Source organism: Homo sapiens, chromosome 3, assembly GCF_000001405.40.
Source record: "Homo sapiens chromosome 3, GRCh38.p14 Primary Assembly".
In the NCBI taxonomy this organism is placed as follows: domain Eukaryota; kingdom Metazoa; phylum Chordata; class Mammalia; order Primates; family Hominidae; genus Homo; species Homo sapiens.
Window position 1 is genome coordinate 38,810,238 of NC_000003.12, and position 15,062 is coordinate 38,825,299.

The 15,062-nt window shown below is 42.8% G+C and overlaps 1 protein-coding gene and 2 long non-coding RNA genes across 3 annotated transcripts in view; 2 read left to right on the top strand and 1 right to left on the bottom strand.

The window, feature by feature from the left end:
• SCN10A (sodium voltage-gated channel alpha subunit 10) overlaps positions 1-5,980 on the bottom strand; it is a 119,411-nt gene extending 113,431 nt beyond the window's left edge. The window contains exon 1 of the mRNA NM_006514.4: positions 5,800-5,980. The gene's annotated coding sequence lies outside the window, so the exon portion shown is untranslated. The remainder of the gene's footprint in view (positions 1-5,799) is intronic.
• LOC105377034 (uncharacterized) lies at positions 3,387-6,108 on the top strand. Its single transcript, XR_940734.1, has 2 exons — positions 3,387-3,492; positions 5,858-6,108. It is a non-coding gene; the product is annotated as an uncharacterized LOC105377034 (long non-coding RNA).
• Positions 12,642-15,062, top strand: LOC107986042 (uncharacterized). Its single transcript, XR_001740555.3, has 2 exons — positions 12,642-14,285; positions 14,947-15,062. It is a non-coding gene; the product is annotated as an uncharacterized LOC107986042 (long non-coding RNA).

Sequence of the window (15,062 nt, forward strand, 5' to 3'; positions counted from 1 at the left end):
TAAAAATTGACAGGTAGAAATGGGTTTTGGGCAAGGTTCTAAGCAAGAGCACTGTGAACATTATGTAAATGCCAACCAGTATAACGCAGCCCTTCAGTTTATTCCAGGGAAGCAAAGGATACGCAGGAAATTCAGTGTTGCTGTGCAGTTCTGACATTGAAGGAATCTGTCTTTTGTTCACAAGTCACATTCTGATTTGGTCCTCAAATTCTGCTTCTAGATGGCAAATTTGGACAAAAATATTGTATCTCCTTTTAGGCTAAAGCTTAAATGTCACTTCATCAGGGAGGCCTTTCTTGGTCTTGTCTGTCTAAATTAGGTGGCCCCAAGATCTCCCAAAGAATCTAGTTTATTTCTTTCCTGGCACTTATCACAGTTTAAAATTATATTTATTTGTGTATTTGTTTAATATCTGTCTGCCCCACTAGACTGTAAGTTCTATAAGTTCTATGAGGGCAGACATGAAAATCATTCTGTCTATAGCTCTGTGCCCCTGGTGCCTGGCAGCAAACAGCACATAGCACATACCCCAAGCAGGTTTGTTGAATGTTTTCATGAAATAGTCTCATTAGGTAAAAATGAGATCTCAGTGAAATAGTCGCATTTTGCAAACATTGTAGCATATGCTTACTGTTTCAGATTTTTCAAAATGCATTTGATTGCATCTAAAGTTTGAGTCCTCTCAATTTTTTTCTACACATTTTTACACTTATCACATCTTTTCTCCAACAGAGCAAAATATTTTCCATTGGTTAAGAAACTTATGTTTCAAGAGGATAGGGTAGTGATTATAATCTTGGATACTGGAGCCATACTTTCCATGCTTAAATCCCCACTCTACAAATTACCAGTTGTGGGACTATTAGAAGATTACTTAACTCCTGTGTGCCTTAGTTTTCTCATCTACAAAATAATCGTAATAATAGAACTACAGTCCAGGCACGGTGGCTCACGCCTGTAATCCCAGCACTTTGGGAGGCCAAGGCAGCTGGCTCACTTGAGGTCAGAAGTTCAAGACCAGCCTAGCCAACATGATGAAACCCCATTTCTAATAAAGATACAAAAATTAGCCAGGCATGGTGGCGTGAACCTGTAATCCCAGCTACTCAGGAGGCTGAGGCAGGAGAATTGCTTGAACCTGGAAGGTGGAGGTTGCAGTGAGCCGATATTGTACCACTGCACTCCAGCCTGGGCAACAGAGTGAGACTCCATCTCAAAAAAAAAAAAAATAGAACTATGAAGTAGTCATGAAAATTAAATTAAATGAGTGTAAAAACGATATATAGTGCTCAAGAACAAAGGAAGCAATAAATTAATCTTGCTATTAATACTATTATCTCCCAAAGTAATATAATTAAGTAGTTGACTCAGAAGTGCTACCCACTTTGTCTGATTTAGCATCAAAACATACAGTCTTCCTAATGTGCAACTCTTCCAACCAACAGTTGCAGAATTTGAGACTAGGTAATGGATCTTGCCTGGGACTCCAGCTAATAAGAGGCAGAGCTGGACAACAACCCAGATTTTCCAGGACTTTCTACTGTCCAGGGCCAAGGCTATCAATTTCCCCAGGATTCCCTTTTTCCTCCTCTCATACTGATTTCCCACAAAGCTACAACTGGAATATACTGGAGCAGGGGAAACAGTGAGGTGTCTGACCAGTCCCTGGCCAGCCACTGAACCAGCGGGCCAACCAGGATGTCCCGAGCCCCCTGCCGCTCACTTGGTTTACGGTGGGGCAATGAGCCAGGCAACCAATCAATACTTCCTGAGCACCTTGATCCATGGTGACTGCCAATAAGCTCCAGGGCAGCTGGCAGCCTGAGTGCTGCTGTCCCATGCTTAGCCTATGACCATCCACCAAGGCAGCCAGCGCTTTTAAAAAATGTGATCACAGCTTTATGTGTTTAAAAATTGAACAAAAAAGATGATTGTCTTACTAATAAAAGTATCTTCTTGCTTGCTTTCTATATTTTGGGCATAGTGCTAAGTATTTTATGAACACTGTCATTTTATCCTCACACAATCATAGGAGCATATCCTATAATTAACCCATTTCTGCAGAGAAGCCACTAAAGCCTTGAGGCTAACTTAGTGAAGGTCATAGCCTATTGGAGACCTAAGGCAATGTTCTTATCTCTTCTGCTCAGTAGGTAATGAATAAAAATATTAACACATCATTCTTGGGGAGTGGTAGTACTGGTGATTTTTTTTTTAATTGAGGAATACATACGCAAAGTACACCAAGTTCATTCATCTGAAGTTTACAGTTTGATGCTTTTTAAAAAACATATGCAAACACCTGTGTAACTACCCCCAAGACAAAGATGTAGAAAACGAGAAGACTCTCCCATGCCCCTTCCCAGTGGCTACCCCTCTCCTGCCTGGAGGGAACTACTGTTCGTTTTCTGTTGTCAGAGTCAGCACTTGCTAGATGTTTCTGATTCTCTTCCTGTCACTGCACTCTGGGCACAGAAACCTCTCCTCTCTTCTATCTATCTAAAGTCTACCCACCGCTGGGCATGGTAGCTCACACCTGTAATCCCATCATTTTGGGAGGCTGCAGTAGGAGGACCACTTGAGCCAAGGAGTTCGAGACCAGCCTGGGCAACATGGCGAGACCCTGTCTCTACCAAAACCACAAAATTTTTCCAAGTGTGGTGGAGGCCACCTGTAATCCCAGCTACTCAGGAGCTGAGGTAGGAGGATCACCTGAGCCCTGGAGGTCAAGGCTGCAGTGAGCTGAGATTGTGCCACTGCACTCCAGCCTGGGTGTTGGAGTGAGACCCTGTCTCAAATAAATAAATAAATAAATAAGTCTACCTGTTATTCACAACCTCCCTCAATTCCCCTTTTTCTGAAGCATTCTCTGATTTTTGCTGCTGGTCAGCTCTGTGAGCACCTTAAAATAATCATAATAATAATTACTATTCCACCTTATCTCCCAAAGGATTGTGCCTAATGCAAGTCAAGCTCACACCTGCTGATGAATTCATTCTAGGCTTTGAGTACCTCGGCTCCTCCCTACAGAGTATGAACAAAGTGTCTCCAATAGGACTCCCTCTTGTCACCTCACATTGTGGGCAGGGGAGTGGGCTTCCTGTTCCTTGTGCCAGTAACCAGCTACATGGCCTTGAATAAATCACTAAAACTGAAACTCCGCGTCTCAGTTTCTTTATATATAAAATGAGTGTATCAGACTAAATGATAATAGGAATAGGAGATAATAGACTAGGCTAACCTTTTTGTGCATCCCCTGTTTAATATTTACAGTCGTCTTGTGACATAGGTATTATTATGGCCATGTCACAATTGATGAAACGGACCCTAACCAAGGTCCAGCTGAGTTCACAAGGCCTATGCTCTTAGCCACTGTACTCTATAACTGGCCATGGCCACTCTGACTCCTTCCTACCCTCATGAACTAGTTCATAAAACATGGCTCTAGATATCTTTGGAGAACAGAGAAAAGCACAATATATAAATACCAAGGTAAGAAGAGTGACCATGGGATCTAATGAGCAAGATGGACCAAAGTGACATTCTAAGGACAAATATTAATAGTTCTAAGCCTCTCAGAATTAATGCTGGCAGGCAAGGGACAGAACGTATTTGCTTAGTGAGAAGGGTGAGAGAAAGTGCTGTCACATTCGAATCTTATTCCCATATGATCCATGACACCAAGCCATGATTTTTATTCAGTAAGCACTTACTGGGCTGCTAATATGTGCAAAGTTTTGATGGGGTATAGAAGTCAAGGAGAGGGAGACCCTCATAAACTCACACTCTGGTGGGGAGAGAGATACATACAGGCGGCACTCTAAAATGAGACATGCACCATGTAAATAAACACAAATTAAGAAGTGAGGTGGGAGCAGAGGAAGAGAGGGAAGGCACTATGCCTTGTGAGAGAATGAGATCTATCCAGGAGTTGGAAAGGCAGGTAAGATTTGGGCAGAAAGTGATTGTGCAGAAAGGGAGAGCCTGGTGGATGCAAACTGAATGAGAAAGAATACAGCAATTTAAGAGGGGGCAGGGACAGTGTTTCACTCATGGGCTCAGGAGTTGGGGACACTAAGCTCACAGTATCACTTTGTATCTGGGGACCATAGGGCTGGTCTGTATTCTGAGAGAGGGGGAGCTAAGGGGAATCTTGGGGCTGACACTCACAAAAAAAGCTGAAGGTCTTAAGAGCCTTCTTGACTTGATTGGGTGCTGACAGAAGGGAATACATGACTGCACATGCCCAGAGTCAGTAATTAGTGGGTTTCTCCTCCTGGTTTAACATTTTCTTGGCAATATTTATTTGTGAAAGACCCTTTACTACCATTTACCATTACAGACCATTCTCAGGTTTCTTTTTCATTTCCTTCTGATGATTGTTATCTCAAAAATTATCCTTGTAGGTATGTGCTCTTTCATATGCTTGGGGCAAAAACATGCTAATGTTTCAATTTATATGCTCATTTATTATTACTATTATCACTACCATTATTTGACTAAGTGGACAGGGAACTAGGAAATTACTTTTTAAGGCCACTCTAAAACCTTCCTAACATTTCAAACCAACTTTATGCCATTTCAAACCAAAAATTTCCACCAGTTTAAAAGCAATTCATTTATCTGTGTCAAACTTCCTTCCACAACATGTGGCTAGAAAGCCCAACCTTTGGCTTCTGTTACTTAAAATATATACACGTGGTTGCTTCTCCCTGCTTCATTTTGCAAGTCCAGTAAAGCTGATTCAAACTACGTTTTAAAATCATAGCAAGTGTTTTCTCTTTTCTGGCACAAATCTAATCAGGTAATCTCAAAGATCAAAATCATGATCAAGAATCAAATTTACACTAAGTGTGCTAGAGCTATGGGGGAAAAAAAGCCAAACAAAGCCAGAACCACAGAAATTTCTGAATGAGGCATTCTGGATTACAGATTTGGGGTTAAAAACAAAGATTAGGTGGCTTTGGTCTTGCCTGTTGTCACCTCTCTGAACGTGTATAAATGCTACACTGAAGGCTGAATAATACCCTTGGATACCTGGGCTTGTCTTTTTTCATCACAATATCTGAAAACAAAAGTTTCTCAACCTTGTTGTCCATCTGAATTTTCTGGAGAGCATTTGAAAAATACAGATTTCTGACTCTCACCCCCTTGACATTCAGAGTCAATAGGCCTGGAGTGGGGTCCAAGAGTCTGTGTTTCTAAAAAGTTCTCCACTTTATTCTGATGTGTGACTAAGAATGAAATCCACTGCTCTGATCCTGATCCTTACTTCTCTAACAAGATAACTTGTTGCCTTGAGTTTAGGACAAAACGTCTTGCTGAAGCTGTGTATCACCACTGACCCGGAGACCATGCATTCTTTGCTTTCTGTGCCCCTTTTTGTTTAGTTTTAACAACTTCGTCAATACTACCAGGACATTTGACCTCTGTTATCACAGTTTTTGTTAAATGTCTGAAATCACATCTGCTAATAAAACATCTTTTTATATCAACACAACTCTTTGAAGAGTATAAACTTGACGTTGATGTAGCATGTAGAAATTGATAGCTTTTGGATTTAGCTATATTTTCACCCTTATCCTTCAGAGGAAGAGATGCAGTGGGAGTCTTCTATGCATATAGATTAATAGTATTTTTCCAAGAACTATGGGTGTTTGAGGAAGGTCATATATTAAAACATCCCACAAAACATGCTTTGTTTTTGGTTTATGAATAAAATCTGTAATCCCCCTCAAAATACCCAAGCACATATCTTTACACTGTTAGCCACAGACTAACAAAGTCGCACAGCCAAACCTTTGCTGCTCAATCTTGCTTGTCTTCTACGTAAGAAATATCTTCTCTTCTATCCCAGATTGCCTCTACTGGAGACCACGAGCTCCTGGAACATACGTTCAGCTTAACATTCAGGCATAGCCAGAAGAAACTCCATCTGATGTCTGTTCTCTAGCCAAGAGGCTAGTGTGTGAAGCAAGAAATGAGAGGCAAGTCTGAGATGCCAAGCTCTGCAAAGACTTGCACTCGTTTGTCCTCCTCAGTGACAGTGGCTCAGCTTGTCTGATGGGAGCCTTGCTATCATTCACGAAACTACAGAAATCATGCTTTCTTGGGTGCCATTCCCATTTCCCGTCACGAGTTCCACCCTGGTTGCTGGTGCTCCAGAAAGTGCACTCCTTGGATGGAAACAGGGCGGGGGGAGTGTGGGGAGAGGCTTATGTGTGATTAGATGGTAAAATAGCAAATGTGATTTTAAATGATCTCATGGGAAATGCTGAAACCTGAGGAAGCAAAGAGGCTGCACTTAGATAACAATGCTCCAGCATCCACAATAGACTCATAGCCTGGGCAAGGCTGCCTTGACTGTGGGACAGGCTGTTTCCTATCATTGACCCCAGAGAGCGAGGTGCACCCATTCACATGGTACCTTCCTTGTCTCTATATTCCCATTCTGGAATAAACACTCTCATTTATTAAAATGTTTTTGTTCCCCTTCTTCCACTGAAATTTTAAAGTTTCACTTTTTGCATCTTGAAAATTTCATTTAAAAAAGTTTTGGAGTAATTTTCATATTCTGCCTGCATACTCAGTAATAGGCCAGGTCTTATAAAATAATAGTTTGAAATGAAATTACAAAAAAAAAAAAAAGATCTGAAACCTCCGATGAGATTAAACAAAACAAAGAGCAGGAGAAAATAACCTGTCCACAGGGCCATAGGACCAAAAGGGAGGGGTAGGTGGAGGAGGTGCTGCAAGGGGTCCCAGGCCAAGCCAGCTCCCCTGCAGCTGCTTGATTCATCTTGTCTCTCAATGCCAGTTAATAGAGGAGGAAACTGGCTTGGTGCTTTATTACATTACAACTCTGTTTACTCAAAACCTCTCAAGTCAAGCAAAAAAACAGCTTCTCTGGGTCAGGGTTCCATTCTTGTGAAGCCTTGGCCTTTTCCTGAAGGGACTGCAATTTGTGAGGGGACAAGCCAAGGACAGCCACATCCCTGCTCCAAGGCACAGCTCAGCAGAAAGGGTAGAGGTCAGAGGGTATGGGAGAGAGCTCCATGGAAGGTAGAGAGGAGGAGGAGGAGGAGGATGCTTCCCCAACCCCGGCAAGCTTTTTAAGGTGCTTCTGCTGTCGGTCTATCCACACAATGAAAACTGAACTGCCTCGAAAGATGATGGTTCTGAAATATTTATGGGTGGAATGACTTGAGGTCTGGAATTTGCTGCAAAATGATTTATTGGCTCTGAGTAGATAATTGTAGAATTGGAGTAGGTAAGAATTTATTATATATTTTTTTCTACTTTGGTATATTCTTGAAATTTTCTGTAACAAAGTGTTTTTAAATTGTGATGCTCATGCAAAGGCATTAACACTAGGCTGTTACATGAAAACTGAATTGTGACACTTTGTTGATTCTAACTTTACGAAAACAAAATTCTGCGTACATGCAGAGAATACTGTGTGGAAGGAAAGACACTCAAAGTTTGAGTGTTTGTATGTGTGTAGTAGAATTATGGGTAATTCTAATTTTTTTTTTCTTCTCCCTTTTTTTTAAACTTCTCTCCATATTAAACTTGGCAATTTCAGAAAATTTAAAGAGCATGGTGAGGGCTCTGTCAGGATTTCTGCCCCCCTTGGTCTGGCGAGTAAGAAGGAGTAATTGCTGGGAGTGTTGACTGGGAGAAGGGAATCCTTCCTTCAGAGGGTATCCCCTGAGTGCCCCTGGACATACATTAAGCCCTGTCATCTTCCCTCAAATGAATCTGCACAGCTAGAAAAGGGCTTCTCTCTGGTTTTTGGAACCACCCTTTCCACTTGCTATCTCTCTTCCTCCCATCCTAGAACTAGGGCTTCAGAGTTCTCAGAAGGGCATTGTTAGGGGAAATAGCTGTGGAGTTTGTCATGGAGGGTCAGTGCTGCCACTGGTAAGTTTTGTGTCTTAATTTCTCTGGATCTCATTTTCTCCACCTGTGAAATAAACACATTGTTCAAGGAGACCTCTTAGCTGCCTTCTGGTTTTGTAGTTGGGTTTGAACTTAGAAATGTCATAAAAATCATTAACCATCTCTTTCCTTGTGGATGTTCAGAAGTCTTACCACACTATTGGTATGATGTGATCTTTTCCCTCCTGCAACTAATTACCACAGGGTTCATCTGAATATACTTGCAGATTGATGGTTCAGGAGAAGCTGCCAATATTGTTGTTGGTGTTTTTGTTGTTGTTGTTGTTGGGGTTTTGCTCTGTCTCCTGGGCTGGAGGGCAGTGGCATTATCATAGCTCACTGAAGTCTCGAATCCTTGGGCTTAAGTGATACCCCTCCTCAGTCTCCTAAGCAGCTGGGACTATAGGCGTGGACCACCATGCCCAGCTAATTTCTTAAGTTTTTTTTTTTTTTGATAGAGATGGAGGTCTCGATTTGTTGCCCAGGCTGGACTTGAACTCCTGGCTTCAAGCAGTCGTCTCACCTGTCTCCCAAAGTGTTGGAATTACAAGTGTGAGCCACTGCAATATGGCTGTTTTTATGGTGGTTCCCTTTGGATGGAAATACTTTTGCTCTTTGGTGTGCAAGGTCTGTGCCAAATGCCTTCACCATCTGAGGCAGAGTGGAAGCTTAGGGCACAGAGAGGGAAGGCACATGGGGAAAGTCACCTACTGGAACTTCATTTCAACACCCACAACTCCCCTCCTTATTCTTGGACCACTTATGGATGCTGGTTAGAGTCGGGGGGGTGCATCTGACAGAGTGAAAAGAGCCATTCCAGGGAACTTTAGATGTCTCACTGGAAGAAACTCTCTCAGCTCTGCACTGGATACTCATTCAAAAATACATTGCTAGAATATTGTTCAGCCATAAAAAGAAATAAACTACTGGCCGGGGGCCGTGGCTCATGCCTGTAATCCTAGCAATTTGGGAGGCCAAGGCGGGCAGATTGCCTGAGGTCAGGAGTTCGAGATCAGCCTAGGCAACATGGTGAAACCTGCTCTCTACTAAAATACAAAAAATTAGCCGGGCATGGTGCCGTGCCCCTGTAGTCCCAGCTACTCAGGAGGCTGAGGCAAGAGAATTGCTTGAACCCGGGAGGTGGAGGTTGCAGTGAGCCAAGGTTGGGCCATTGCACTCCAACCTGGGTGACAGAGCAAGACTTTGTCTAAAAAAAAAAAAAAAAAAAAAAAAAGAGAAAGTACTAATAAGTGCTACAACCTGGACAAAGCTTAAAAATAGTATGTTAAGTATGGCACATGTATACATATGTAGCAAACCTGCACATTGTGCACATGTACCCTAGAACTTAAAGCATAATAAAATAAATAAATAAATAAATAAAATTTAAAAAATAGTATGTTAAGTAAAAGAAGTCAAACACAAAAGGCCTCATATTTTATGATTCCATTTATATGAAATGTCCTTTCATAGACAGAAAATAGACTAGTGGTTGCCAAGGAAGGGGAGGAAAAGAAGTGAGTGCTAATGGGTATGGGGTTTCTTTTTACAGTGATAAAAATGTCTGGAATTAGATAGTGGTGATGGTTGCACTACTTTGTGAATATATTAAAAACCACTGAACCGTACACCTTAAAATGATAAATTTTGTGGTGTGGGACTTACATCTTAATTACAAAAAAAAAACTGTATTAAAATTACATGGAACTCTAGACCCTCCAAAATAAGAATAAGACTAATAAAAAGAAAGTACATGTAAAGCTGGTGCACTCTAAATAAAGCTTATACCTGAGTTAAAAATACTGAGTTAAAAAATATGTAGCCATATCAATTTATGGCGGTATACATATCATTGTATACTGGTTTATACAACGTGCTATGATTATAGAAGATATTATAATTGGGGAAAGGTGGGTAAACAGTACATGGAAACAATACTATTTTTGCAACCTTTTGAGAGTCTTTCAAAAGCCTTTCAAACTATTTCAAAATAAAATGTTATATATTTTTTATATTTATTTATTTAGAGATGGAGTCTCACTCTGTCGCCTAGGCTGGAGTGCAGTGGTGCAATCTCGGCTCACTGCAACCTCTGCCTTCAGGGTTCAAGTGATTCTTGTGCCTCAGCCTCCCGAGTAGCCGGGATTACAGGCACGCACCACCATGCCCGGCTAATTTTTTTATTTTTAGTAGAAATGGGGTTTCGCCATGTTGGCCAGGCTGGTCTCGAATTCCTGACCTCAGGTGATCCACTTGCCTCGGCCTCCCAAAGTATTGGGATTATAGGCGTGAGCCACAGTCCCCAGCCTAAAATGTTATATATTTTTAAAGATATTAAAGTAAGCATGATAGCAGATGGAAGAGTGGTGGCATACAGGGAGGGTAGGGAAGCTCTGGATTCATTGAGCACCCATGCAAGTGGCCTAATTCCTTTAGTGCCAGTTATTCATGGTGATACCTAGTGTTCTGTCGTAGGTTCCAAGGCTGTGTATGTAAAATGTCATAGGCAGCCCTAATTAAACCTTCTTTCCCAATGATCTACTGCTGGATAGGAGGCCAAATCTTAAATGATGAATCTCTTTAAGCTATCCAGAAGTGGTTCGTTTAAGGTACAAAAGAGCAAAGGAGGTGGGTGTTTAACATTCTGATGATATCTAGGCTGGGGGGTATTTGGTCCACTTTAGTGAGCCTGTCGGAGGTGGAAGGAGGCCCATTTCTGAAGGGCCCAGCTTCCTGTTTTAGGAAACAACAGGAAGTGTCTATAGCAGTGATAATGTATCATGATGAAAATTATTTCAAGGGACCTCGTAGTGACACCAGCTACTTACTCCTCTCACCCCCTCCAAACTCCAGTTAAAGGGGGAAATAATCTGACTCTTGAATTCCTATCCAGAGGGAGAAAGCTGGAAGAGGGAGAGGAATGGGTATATCCAAGGAAGGAAGAAATTTTCATGGGGGACCAAGATGGGACCCCCCCCATAATCCTGAGGGATTTCCATTTTTTCCCTGTAGACTCATGAATCTTCTCAGTTGATCCTTATCATTGGTGTTCAGCATAATTGGCCACATTCACCTTGCAGAAGCAAGCCCTTCCCTTGGCTTTTATTGGCAGAGGATCCTCTTCAGCCTCCATAGCTGGTTCTCCATCATCTGACTATTGAATCTTGACATTGCTTTAGGTATTGTCCTAGGCCCTCTTTTTGGTGATTTCATTCTCTCCTATAGCTTCAATTACCTTATACCTAAATGGCATCTAAGCCCTTATCTCCAATACAAATCTCTCCCCTACATTCTGGACTCATATATCCGTGAATGTAGCAAAGTCTCAAATCTCCATTTATGGGTATCTCATAAGCATCTCCGGTTGAGTATGTTTAAAACTGAGCTAGATATTTCTGTTCTCATGCCCCACTCCAAAATGATTCTCCTTCAGAGATCCTCCTCAGTCACCGTCTACCTGGACACTCAAGCCAGAAGTCTAGAGGTTATGCATGAGTCCCTCCTATTCCTCACCCCTACCTCCATTCCCTACCAAGTCCTTTAACTTGAACTCCTAGAAACTCCCTGATTCTACCTCCCTGGCCACCAACACGATACATCACTATCTTCTCTCCTAGATGACATTGGTGAACGCCCAGCAGGTTTCCCCCTATCATTTCACCACTCTGCAGCACATTCTCCAGACTGTTCTTTATGAAAATGAACATCTTGTCAGAAGACACCTCTACTGAGAACCTTCAAGTGCCTGCCCACTGCTGTTACAATGAAGTCCCCAATCCCAGAAGTAGTTTATGAGTTCTCCATGATCTGTCTTTAACAATGCCCCACCTTACCCATTCTTTCATACCCCAGTGATATTGGGCTGCTCTCAGATGCTTGAACACACCACACTCTTCCAGTTCAGAGTCTTTGTAAATGTTCTTGCTTGTTTTCTCACATCCCATTTATTCCCTTCCCTTCACTTACCAATTTTGAGTCATCCTTCTCTCCTCAAACTAAACATTCCCTGACCCTCCAAACCAAGGTGGAATACTCATGTTCTACTCTCCTATGAACTCATTTATTCATTCACTCGATACTTATTTATTGAGCACAGCCCATGTGTGAGGAGCTCACAGTCTAGTAGGGAAACAAAGACTGAACAACTAATTCTGAAAATGACCACGTTAATGCCTCTTGCAGTGACATTTCCTAGAATAACACAAACTCACACAGATAGCAGTTGGTAATTGGCTCTCATCCTTGGTGGTTGGCACAGCCTAGTCACTTCATGGACCTCATGACAATGCAACACATACTCTCCGCAAATGAACTTTTTGGGCCCCACATAGGGCATCATGGCAGGATTTTACTGTGCTACCAACTGCAATAGGAGTTTTGGGGGAAAAATAAAAGAAGAAGTACTTATGTCACTGTGGATAGAAAGCACTTCTTCAGGCAATTTGTTGAATGCCTATTGTCCCTACTATGTAATTATTTAGGTAGTGCTTAATGAAAATCTGCTTAATGAAAATCTATGCTCATGGCTGAAGATATGAAAATGAAAAGATGATGAAGTTCTGCACGCATGGAACTTACATTCTGAAGGGAGGGAGAGACAAAATATGCAATTAGATGAATTAACAAATGCATATTAAAAGACAATAATTATTCCTCAGAAGGCAACATATTTTGCAAAAATTTTTTCTTCTCTAGCCAACCAGAGACTTTTATAATGTAGACTAGTGTTTGCCCCTTTGACTCAATCTCCTCTTTCCATGCTATAGTACAGGAATCTTCCTGTACCTACTGGAGACATGCATTAGAGCCTTCTTCCCAGATAAGTTACAATCTTCCTTCTCTGTTTCATAGGTGTATGTCTTGTGTTCATCTCCCTGAAAAGTTTTATTTGGGCTCCTTAAGAAAAGTGTGACCATGTCTATTCTGGCATGCTTCACAGTGCTAGGCACACAGTAGGTCAACAAACAACACTTCTATGAGGCCAGGAGTTCCTCCAGAGCAGGACCCGTGCCTTGTTTCTAGATCTCCAGCCCTTAGCACCAGGCCTAGCTAGGTAGAGAGGTTCTGAGCTAAGACTTAGGAGAGGAATCCAGGAATTGCTCCTTTTAATAATTCATCAGCTTTTGTCACATGTGCATTGATCGAATTCTTTTGAATACAGGTTATGTTTTAACCTGGATAATAACAATCCCTTATACACACACAGTCTTTGTAGCTTGCAATTTATCTTTGAGTAATAAAACCCAGTGAAAATCTGGTGGATAAAACGGTCCTTACTTTATACGTGGAGAAACTGGGCTTAGAGAGGTTGAGAGGCTTCACCGTTGACGTCAGGCTATGAAATATCAGAATGAGGTCAGAATAAGATCTCCTGGTCCAAGGCTCCTGATACCAAAATTTCCCAAATGTGACTCTGGCCTTCTTTGGTTACTACCCGTTGGGTAAGTCAACTCCTTTCAGGTGGTAACCTGCACCGGGAACTGTGGCAGTGGCCTGATGAGGTGGCAGGGAGAGAATCATGGCCAGTTTCTTGGTTCCTCTGCTTTCCCTGTACCTCTCAGACTCTTAATCCATCTCTGTGTTCATGATGTGCCCTGGACACGGGCTGAGAGGTCGAGGAGGAGCCCAGGAATGAGGATGCGTTGGTGGAGCCTGGCCTTCCTGTCAGAACTCCAGACACCAGGGAGAGATGAGCAGCTTGGTTTCCATGGCAACCTGCCCACCCAGATCCCTGCAGCTGCAGCCCCTGTGGGCCCCTGAGGTGGGGGCTGTGGGTGTCCTGCTGGGCCCTGGGGCTGCAGTAGGCAGGAGGGAGTGCAGGGCTGAGGCAGGCTGCTCACTCGGAGTCGGAGCTTCGCCTGACATGGTTCCCATGGGGACGGCTGTGGGCACATGCTGCCTGTGGTCAGATACCCAAATTAAAACTGCTCCGTAGTTCTGGTAGCTCCTCCTGGGCTCAGAGCCTTTGGAAGAAAGACTGAGTTTTGGGCGCACTAGCCTCTCAAACCTTCCCCGCCCCAACAAAAGGTAGATTTGAGAACTTGGGACTATGGGGCTTTCTGTTTCATGACTGGAGCATTCCCTCTGTGCCAGAGCCTAGAGACACCAAGATGGCTGAAGTGCAGTCACCATCCTTAGGGAGAGGCGAGAAAGACAGGCCATAGAGCTGAAAATTACAACACAGTATGGCCTGGCAACAGTGGAACTCAGAGCAAGAAACAGAGGAGGGATCCATCAATTCTGGGGAAGTTTCAGAATAGGAGGGAGCTTCACTCCACGCAGAGGAAGGGGCTCCTGCAAACACTGGAGGAAAGAACATCCTCTGTGACGTCACAGAGTATGAGGTGAAGTAGAAAGGGAGGAAGGGGGAAGCATGGCTGGGGGATGGGCAGGAGATCCAAACTGCGGAAATTGTGAAGCTGGGGTTGTATCCATAGGGAAAGAGGGGGTCATTCTATGCAGGGAAGGCAGCAGTGGGGCTGGATTCATGATTTAGAAAGGTCTCCATGGATGCTGTCAGAGGTCTGATTTAAGGGGGAAGAGGCATAGTCGCAAAGGGGCACTCATTGGAGGCACAGTTGCAAAGGGTCCTGAGACCCTTCAGGATCTTGAACAACCATTGTTCTGGAAGAAAGTATAATATGATATTTGTTTGGAAGGCCTGGGGTTCTGTAGGCATGAGATTCATTGAACCACCTCCCATCCCAAACCCCTGAGACAGGAAAGTTTCTGGAATGAAAGAGGGACACTCTGTATAGGGGTCATGAAGTCATTTGGGAGGAAAGGGTTTAACAGAGTAATAACACAGCAAATTGATATCTTGACCCCTGGGGTTCCAAATTACCATCACATGGATGGACCAAGTTCAGTGAATCATCAAGATTCGTGAACTCTGTAGAGCAGGTAGCTCTGGAGAAGAGGAACACCCTCACAATGAACAGAACAGAGCTTGAAGTCATACTGATCTGAATACTAAAAGAGTTGTGATTTTGTTTTGTACCCCAGGCTCCTAGTTCTAATAGGATTGGATGGGGGTTGTGCTGCTGTGAGAGATGCAGTGTTGCTCACATTATCTTCCAAATGGATTCACTTTCATTAAAATGACAATTGTTTTACAGTCA